At 43.5% G+C, this 9606-nt stretch overlaps 2 annotated features.

Annotated features, from left to right (window-relative positions):
• Positions 8266–9166: a transcriptional cis regulatory region, noted in NCBI's record as "candidate enhancer chr1.7885 targeted for multiplex CRISPR interference". NCBI's record gives its function as "positively regulates MAGI3 gene expression with high confidence in K562 cells {active_cell/tissue: K562}" and the evidence as "EXISTENCE:mutant phenotype evidence [ECO:0000015][PMID:30612741]".
• Positions 8546–8715: an enhancer, noted in NCBI's record as "active region_1528". NCBI's record gives its function as "activates an Ori minimal core promoter by ATAC-STARR-seq in GM12878 lymphoblastoid cells {active_cell/tissue: GM12878}" and the evidence as "EXISTENCE:reporter gene assay evidence [ECO:0000049][PMID:35858748]".

The following is a 9606-nucleotide window of genomic DNA, read 5'->3' on the forward strand; positions in this document are numbered from 1 at the left end:
TTTTCTGGTCTTCTTTTGCCTAGCGTACAGCAGTGAAACGGTACATTTATGAGTTTGTATCCTTTTGAGGGGGTCTTCAAGTAGCTGTACAAGTGAGAACAGGGCAGAATTGTTTTCCTTTAGTTCTTGCCAAGTCACATATTGCCTTGAGCCTGCCCCTGGCCGCCCCTGCAGCTGTGAGCTGTGAGGACAGGCACTGTGTGCTCTCCTGCTTCCTCCCTGGTGGTATCCACCGTGGTGCTAGATGCCTGGCAGGTATGGAAACAAATACACTTCATAATTCATTAGAAAATAAGAGTGTTTTCTGCACAGAGAAGGATATGAAGGCAGCATTTTCCAATTTGGTAAATCTTTGATTAACAGGATATTTGAAGAATGTCAATATTCTGGTCAACTTTGTTACTATATCACAGGGGCCATTTTCTTTGAGGCTACCAACTCTTTGAAAGCTCATAATATTTACCCCATTGTGTACTTCTACTGCACTTTATTTTTTATTTTTTTTGAGACGGAGTCTCACTCTGTCACCCAGGCTGGAGTGCAGTGGCACAATCTCAGCTCACTGCAACCTTCGCCTCCCGGATTCAAACAATTCTGCCTCAGCCTCCTGAGTAGCTGGGATTACAGGCACGTGCCACCACACCCGGCTAATTTTTTTTGTATTTTTACTAGAGACGGGGTTTCACCATATTGGCCAGGCTGGTCTCGAACTCCTGACCTTGTGATCCACCCGCCTCGACCTCCCAAAGTGCTGGGATTACAGGCGTGAGCCACCGTGTCCAGCCAAGCACTTTATTCTTTAGGAGGCACTTTCCACAGACATCTCACTTGAATTTCACAACACTCTTATGATATAGATTGGGTAGACAATTTTACTTTCCACATTTTATAGTTACGGAAACTGGCTTGGTGACAGTATCACTTACCCAATATCAAAAGTTTTTGTTTCAGCTCACCCACTTCCTCTTGTTCTTTGTTTAAAAACTTTTGATATTAAGTAAGCGATAATTTCACCAAGTCCCAGGCAGCCCATCCCTGAGAGCATTGGCCAGAAAGACAGCAGAATTTGAATCCAGGTTTTCTGACTCAGATTCAGGGTTTTCCCCACTATGATACCTTACAATTCAGAGTATCTTCTCTATAGTCTGCATAAACACTTCGGTAAAACCCTCCGGACACTGATCACTTCCAGTCTGAAAGTTTGGACTGGAATTTACCCTAGTAAAAAATGCTTTTTACTAAATTTCTAATAGAAAAATTAGACTTTTTTTTTCTCTTTTAAGGTGACATGCAAAAAAAAAAAAAATGCCGTAGTGTTAATTCTATTTTTTGTTTTGGAGTGGGACATGCTAGGGCCTATATGGTAGCCTCCTGCTGAGTTATGAAAGATATTTATTCACACTTGTAGATATTTACAGGTTTGTGACAGTGCTTAAGCTATCTGTGCTGAAGGACTAGTTGCCATGGATCAATACTTTTGTAAAATGCAGTAAGAATGAATTTCTAGAAAAATTAAGACAAAATACAAACAAAATTTTTATTACAGATTCAACACATAAAATTACTATCAAACTGCAATTAAAATTTCTAAATGCTTATTCTCAGTTTCTGTAGTTTATCGTGGACAAAGAGCAAATAGTTTGTGGATTGGCACAAGTCTGCAGATCACTTCTGTAGTGTTGCTGTAACTGTGTAACAGTTCATGTATGTGTCAGGATGGGAATCGGTTTTATTTATTTAGGGGATTCCTTTTAGTCTTGCTGGTATGATATGATTGAAACTGAGGACTGGACTTTTGTCTAGAGGCCCCTCTGACTAGAAGCAACAATTAAAACACCTTTTCAGCTCACTGACTTCCTCCTGTTCTTCAGCTCATCACTTGCTGGGTAGAGCATTTGTAGCATGCTATTTGTTTTCCAGGCCTGCTGCTTTTCTGGCCAATGCTCTCAGGGATGGGCTGCCTGTGATTTGTTATAAAGGAAATTCTATCACAAGAGAGGGAAAGGGAAAAGGAAGTACATGGGTCATTATACTGGGAGGAAGGTGGTCTGATGCTATGTAGTCCGATGTGGACTTGTGGGTGATCAAATACTCCATTTGAGCTGTTTCTTTCTTTTCTTTTCTTTTCTTTTTTTTTTTTAGACAGAGTTTTGCTCTTGTTGCCCAGGCTGAAGTGGAATGGCGTGATCTCAGCTCACTGCAACCTCTGCCTCCCAGGTTTAAGCGATTCTCCTGCCTCAGCCTCCCAAATAGCTGGGATTACAGGTGCCCGCCACCATGCATTTGGGCTGTTTCATTCACCACCTCTACTGCTTTGTTCAGCCAGTCAAGAAATGTTTCTTGAAATCTCTAGGATAGAGATTTGTCCCTGTTCATTTAGTTCTCAGACCCTCCCCAAGGCCAGTCATCAAAGCACTGACAAAAAGAGGCAAATAGGAAGTTTTAATCACAGTTACTGCTGGGAAGAAATGATGTAACTAACAGCAAATACATTCTGCTTACTCCTTTCAGATACTGTGAAGCATTTTACATACTTAACATTTACTTACAAAAATCCCTTTGAGGGAGGTATTCTTATCTCCTATATTGTGCTGTTCTTGCATTGCTATGAAGAAATACTTGGGACTGGGTAATTTATAAAGAAAAGAGGTTTAATTGGCTCACAGTTCTGCAGGCTTTACAGGAAGCATGGTGCCAACATCTGCTCAGCTTCTGGGGAGGCCTCAGGGAGCTTAAAATCATGGAAGGCAAAGCGGGAGCAGGCATATCAAATGGAGAAAGCAGGAACAAGACAGAAATTGGTGGGGAGGTCCCACACACCTTTAAACAACCAGATCTTGGGAGAACTCACTTGATTCATAAGAACTGTACCCCCACGATGCAATCACCTCCCACCAGGCCCCATCCACAACACTGGGATTACATTTCAACATGAGATTTGAGTGATGACAAATATCCAAATTCTATCATCCCCATTGTACAGAGGATGATCCTGGATAAGCAAGTTGCCCACATCACATAATTAGCAAGCAGTACAACTAGGAGTTGAAATTATATCTTCATTATTTCAAAGCACACATTCTTTCCCTGTGCCTAAGAAAGGGAAAAAGTGAGCTTTTATGAAACTCCTTTGTCATTTAGCCTTTGTTATTGGCTAAACTGTTGTCCTTTCAACCCTCCAAAATTCAATACATCAAAGTCCTATTCCTCAGTACCTCAGAGTATAATCATATTTGCAGATAAGGTCTTTAAAGAGGTAATTAAGTTAAAATGAGCACAGAGCAAAAACCAAAGACCACGTATGGATTCATCAAGAAGGAAACCACAGAGAGAGCTGTCAAAAGAAACCAAGCTTGCTGACATATTGATCTTAGACTTCTAGCTTCCAGAGCTGTGAGAAAATCAATTGTTTAAAGCCATCTGGTCTGTGGAATTTTGTTATGGTAGCCCAGGCAAACTAATATGGTCCTTCAGCAACCCAGCCAGGCTGGTAGGATTTTCTTCAAATTTTGCAAATAAGAAAATTGTCTCAAGCTATGTGATTTGCCAGAGGTCATGTGCTCCAAAGCCCCTGCTCTTTCTACTGAGCCACCCTGTCCTCAGACCCCAGCTGGTTCTTTGTATACTGAAATCTGCTGTAGACACTTAATATTCTTTTTTTTTTCTTTTTAGACAGAGTTTTGCTCTGTTGCCCAGGCTGGAGTGCAATGGCATGATCTCAGCTCACTGCAACCTCTACCTCCTGGGTTCAAGCGATTCTCTTGCCTCAGCCTCCCGAGTAGCTGGGACTACAGGCATGTGCCACCATGCCTAGCTAATTTTGAATTTTTAGTAGAGACGGGGTTTCTCCATGTTGGTCAGGCTGGTCTCGAACTCCCAATCTCAGGTGATCCGCCTGCCTTGGCCTCCCAAAGTGCTGGGATTATGGGGTGAGCCACCACACTGGGCCTGAGACTTAATATTCTTCTGGACATTCTGAGGAGAAATTGGAAGTGAAATTGACGAATACACAGGCTAGCATGCTAGCAGTTCTGATGCACTGCACATCCCCAGCCTCACCAAAGTTCAAACAAAAGGCATCTGCGGCACTGAACTATACTTGCCACAAAATAAGAAATTGGAATGTCTTTAGATAAATGAGTGCATCTGGGGACAAAGAAGCAAGTTATTTGGAGCTTTCAAGAGTAAATGCTCTTAAGCTCCTGTCTTATTCTTTCTTCCCAAGGACAAACTGGATTTTGAAATCAATATGTAGAATCTCATATGTGGAATGACTGGCTGCTCATGAGTTATACTCAAAATTAAGTAGTTTAATTTTGTCTCTTTTCTAAATGCTCCATCAAAGCCAATGTGAATTTCTCTGTCTTGAAAACAGTAGGTATGTGGTTTAAGGTCAGCAGTTATAGAGGCTAGTTTGAATTATTTATTCTTGGCAAGCTCCAGAGGCAAGCACTCGGGTATATGTTCCATGCCAGAAACAGCTAGTGCAGAAAGAAACAATTGTCATCAAATAGTGAATTATTGCTACCTCCATGGTTTTGTTCTTTATACATGTAACCTGGGGGTGGCTCAGGGACCACACAGATAGGCTCTTACTAAAAAGGAACTTAAGGTTAAGTTCTTTTTTAGGTGTGTGAGGTTGAGTGTTTTGACTTTTGGAGAAGCACAAAATCATCATCAGTTGCAGGTCTGGGGGAAAGCAGTGCATCATGTCGGCAGGAGCGTTACCTTTTGGGCCCCACTCCTGCACGTGCACCAGCTTTCTCACACCTTTTCCAGACCTCAGTCACTTGTCTCACCCGCCAAATGTGTACCATTTCCCGAAGTGCCCCTGAGTGCAAAAGACTATAAAACCCAGGGAGGAGAGGAGAAGTTTGAAAACTACCTCATGTCTTCCCCTGTTGAAAGCTGCAGTATTTTTGCGTTTGGGCAGCCTTTATTTAGAGAAGGCCCTAAGACTTTTCTTAGTTCAGTGAAGGGATTTTGTAAAGATAAATCCCAATTTACAGAAATGACTGTTCATTTTGACCAGAAGTCCTTTCCTGTGTCTAATTTAAGTTCTATCTGATGTAAGACTTGTTAGTGAAATGGTTACTGAGGCTGGTGGAAGAATTGAAGAACAGCATTTCTTCTGCAGCTCTTGAATGCAGGGGTGTGGCTTTTAGAAGGTCTTTGGCTACAGAAACAAACCTGTTCTGTTTTCTTTCTCTCTCCATTAAGCCAGAACGTTTCCTTTCTCATTGCTCTTCCTACCTTTCTTCCAACCCCCAATAAAAGAGTTTGGGCAAAAGAACTAGAAACTAAACTCCCAAGTCTCCAGTTTGCCATCCATGGTGGGAGTTCCATGGCTAGGCAGGGGCTGCCAATTTACTGCAGAGACAGCTGGCTACATATATGAGGATTCCTTGTGGTAAGCCAAAGTCCTTGGGCCCTGCATTTACTATAAGGTTTTTAAAAGTGAGTGATTCAGAGCACTGCCTTTGACGGTGAACAGAGCTGGACTCCAGTCCTACCCCCACTTCTTAACCAGTTGTGGGAGTTTAAGCCAGTTTCTTAGAAGCGTTGTGCCTCGTTCCCCTTATCTGTAAAATGGAAATAGTCATGCTTACCTTATATGTTTGTTGAGATAATTAGATAAGCTGATGCATATAAAGTAATAAGCACAGTGCCCAGCACAGTGCTCAACACATTTTGGCTGCTATTAGCTATTGTTATGGGCACTCAGAATGGAGCACCCTCTTCCCACTCCCTTCTCTATCTGGGACAATTCAAGATGGGGCATGGGGAATGTTAGTAGCGAGAAGTAACCCCAGTGAGCTATTTTAGGGCTAGCCCTAGAGACTGGGATTCCTAGTTGGATTTTGCTTAGAAACAACATACAATGTTCTGAAACTATGATTAAATGAAAAGTGCAGGCCAGGCATGGTGGCTTATGCCTGTAATCCCAGCACTTTGGGAGGCCAAGGCGGGTAGATCACCTCAGGTCAGGAGTTCAAGACCAGCCTGACCAACATGGTGAAACCCCGTCTCTACTAAAAATACAAAAATTAGCCAGGCATGGTGGTTTGTGCCTGTAGTCCCAGCTACTCGGGGGACTGAGACAAAAGAATCACTTGAACCCAGGAGGTGGAGGTTGCAGTGAGCCAAGATCACACCACTTCACTCCAGCCTGGGCAACAGAGCAAGACTCCGTCTCAACAAAAAAAAAAAAAAAAGAAAGAAAACTTCATTCAGCTAGAGTCTATTGGACTTGGATTCTGAGCAGTTCTGCCCCTCACTGACTGTGTGATCCTGGGAAGTCTTGATGTCACCTGATGTCTCCCCATCACTGTCCCCATTGTGTCTTTGTTTCTTCCAATTGGTTTATGGTGGTTCTTTTTAACTTTCCCAGGAGAGGACTCCCTTTACCTGGAGAACAATAATGACAAAGTCTTGTAGGAGGTTTTATAGGGGACAAAGAGCCTGTCTGGCTTAAATGAAGAGAATGAAGTAGGAAACAGTCAAGAGAAACCTTTTTGTTTGATTGAGAAGTTTTGACCCTCCCAGAAAGTATATAGTGTTAACTGACCAACAATGAGCATCATTCCTGAATGAGGGTTGTCCTTGGCCCACTGATTCCACCTATAGTGTAGTTCCAGTGGTTGTGTAGGAATTCATGCAACAATCTATGGCAAACTGAATTACTTCTCAGATAATTTTCTTTAGGACTTAGTATGTTGGCTTCATGCCAAGGGGAATGGCAGTATTGGGAAAACTGCAGATGTTCTGGAAGCAGAGCACTTGAGTTCAAATCTTGACTACTCCTCTTACAGGCAAATTACTAAATTTCTTTTAGCCTCTGTTTCCTTCTCTGCATGACAGCAATGATAGTACTTACTTCACAAGATTACTGTGAGCACCAAGTGGAATCATTTCTGCTGGAGAGAAGGAAACACTTCAGTTTTTAGAAGTCTAACTTATTTGGGTGGATGGGTAAAGGAAATGGCAATTTCATTTCCTCTGGGCCCTTTGGCCGATCAATGGACTGAACTTTATCCTTGGGGAACAGCTGTGGCTTTTTCATAAATTCAAACATCAGTCTAATTTTCCCAAGGTTCCTCCAGGTTTACTCTAAAGGGAGCCCCTTCTTTGAATTGTTGTTGGTCTGAAGAGGGACCAGCAGCTGCTTGCCTGCAAAAATGTATTGCAGCCTCTGTGGGCATTCCCTGGACACTGCACACACTGCTATCCCCAAGCAGTCACAAACTAGGATGCTTTGATAATGAGAGTTTGAATATTTTATGTATCTTGTTTTCCAATTATACTTAAGAATTCAATAAGCTGAGTAGTGGGAAGCTGAATTACTAGACTGGCAAAGGAATGAACAGAAAAACCTAAAAAATTTAAAAAGAGGATTAAGAAAACTGTCCTTGCTCAGTTTGGGAGCCTGGCTTACTTTTCTTAGTACTCTGCTGTTCCTGATACTGTTCAAGCTGGGGCACTGAAGATCTGGAACCATGTAGCTTGGATTTTCTTCAGACCAAAATACCTCGATGCTCATTTTTTTTTCTTTTTTTTTTTTTTTTTTGAGACAGAGTCTCACTCTGATGCCCAGGCTGGAGTGCAGTGGTGCGATCTTGGCTCACTGTAGCTTCTGCCTCCCGGGTTCAAGTGATTCTCGTGCCTCACCCTCCCAAGTAGCTGGGATTACAGGCACCTGTCACCACATCCGGCTCATTTTTGTATTTTTAGTAGACAGACGGAGTTTTGCCATGTTGGCCAGGCTAGTTTTGAGCTCCTGACCTCAGGTGATCTGCCCGCTTTGGCCTACCAAAGTGCTGGGATTACAGGCGTTGAGCCACCATGCCCGGCCTTGATGCTCATTTTGAACTATCAACTTACCTTCGATGCCTTTGTAGACTCATCCAACTACTTCCCAATAAATGGTCCAGGATTAATGGGTATTCATGTTCAGTGTAGGGCATCTAATTCCAGAAATGTAAGCCAAATTAGCAAACTCTCCTAAAAAGGACATCCTATCTTCTGCTGAGCTGTCTTCCCAAGCTAGCCAACGTGTCTGAATTTGGGCATGAAAGAAGAGGAGCAGATGGGCTGGGGTCTGACATGCAGGGCAAACTGGAGGGTTTTCTTGGCATATTTGTTCTTCAAATCTAGACTTTAGAATATGTGAGAAACAGTGACATTCTCACATTGGTCCCAAGCCATGGAGGAAATCCTGCCCCATTGAGAAGTGGAGACATTTCAGCCCTTGCATATCTCATCAGCAAACCACAGGGTTGGTGAAGGGACTGATGGAGTCCTTTTAAAGGTCTTGTGCCATTTTCTTGCCTTTTTATCTTTTTGTTCAAAGATAACTCTTGTTTTGTTTTCTATCTTGAGGCAAAATTGAAAACTTGGCCTACACATTGGTTTGGGCTAGAACTGGCCTCTAGGTGGCGATTCAGTACAGAGAATGGTGGTGGCTGGCGTCACCTCGAGCCACCATTTCTCAGAGATACCATTATATAAGGGGATTCATGAGAAATCGGGCATCACAATAGAGGGACAGCTTGGCCTTTGTCACTTTTCAAGCTGGGATCCTGAAGAGGTTGGGGTGCATGGGGAGCAGCGAAAGCACCTAGTCTCAAGCAACATAACACGAGTTTAAGGCCCCCACTAGGACGGAGTCCAGAGTAGTCTGGCAACGGTTGCAAGGTTTGGACTTGGCCTGCTAGGAGAGTGAGCCCTGAGCTTCAGGCTTGGTTCCCTCACTCCTGTGAGGCCTCACTCAGGCTCACAGCCCCTGATGGAGCACTCAGCTTGGCGGCTGCCTGCCCGAGGTCTCCAGAAAAGGCAGCCAGCTCCTAGTTGAAGTCCTCCCACTTTACTTCCCCTTCCTTCCCCCTGCCACTCCCTCTCTTCTCCTTCACCCCTCCTTCCCTTCTGCCTCCCGTTCCCTCTGCTTCCTCCTTCTTCCCCCTCTTCCCCACCTCCTCACACACCCCATTCTCACCTTCTGCTATTTACAAAGCCCTTTCCCCTGTATGATCTCATTTGCTGCTCACAGACTCCTAGGGAAGAGGGACAGGTTGAGCCCTCCCTCACTCCCTGGCACACTTTGAGGACACAGTGCGGAAGTGCTTATAAAGATCCCGTTATCTGACTGTCACCACCAGCAAATAGTGAGTACCTTAGGGCAACTATTGAATTCAAATTAGTGCATGTTGCTTGGCATGGAGGAGGTCTCAAAATTATTTACTGAATGAATAAATATTTATAGTTGCAAAGAACTGAATCAAGGGACAGTAGGTGGTAGAGTCCATTCTAGAAGTTAGGCTTCATACTTGTAGGACCTACGACATTGCTGCACTAGGTACTAAATATGTCACCATTTTCTAGTAAAAAATACAGTATGTAAGTGCATAAAGGGACCCATGCAGAACTGTTTGCATATCTGGCTCTCAACCACATGAAACTACTCTGGCACCAGTCTGCTGTCTGTCAGGGGACACTAGGAGCTGTGGGTGGATCTAGGGGAGCAGCTGGCCTTTCTGAGGCCTTCCTTAAAGTATGGGATAGACACTGGGCCCCTCAGCTATCAAAACCCTTCTGTCTTTAGCTGATCTA

The sequence above is a fragment of the Homo sapiens genome, chromosome 1 (genome assembly GCF_000001405.40).
Source record: "Homo sapiens chromosome 1, GRCh38.p14 Primary Assembly".
Classification (NCBI taxonomy): domain Eukaryota; kingdom Metazoa; phylum Chordata; class Mammalia; order Primates; family Hominidae; genus Homo; species Homo sapiens.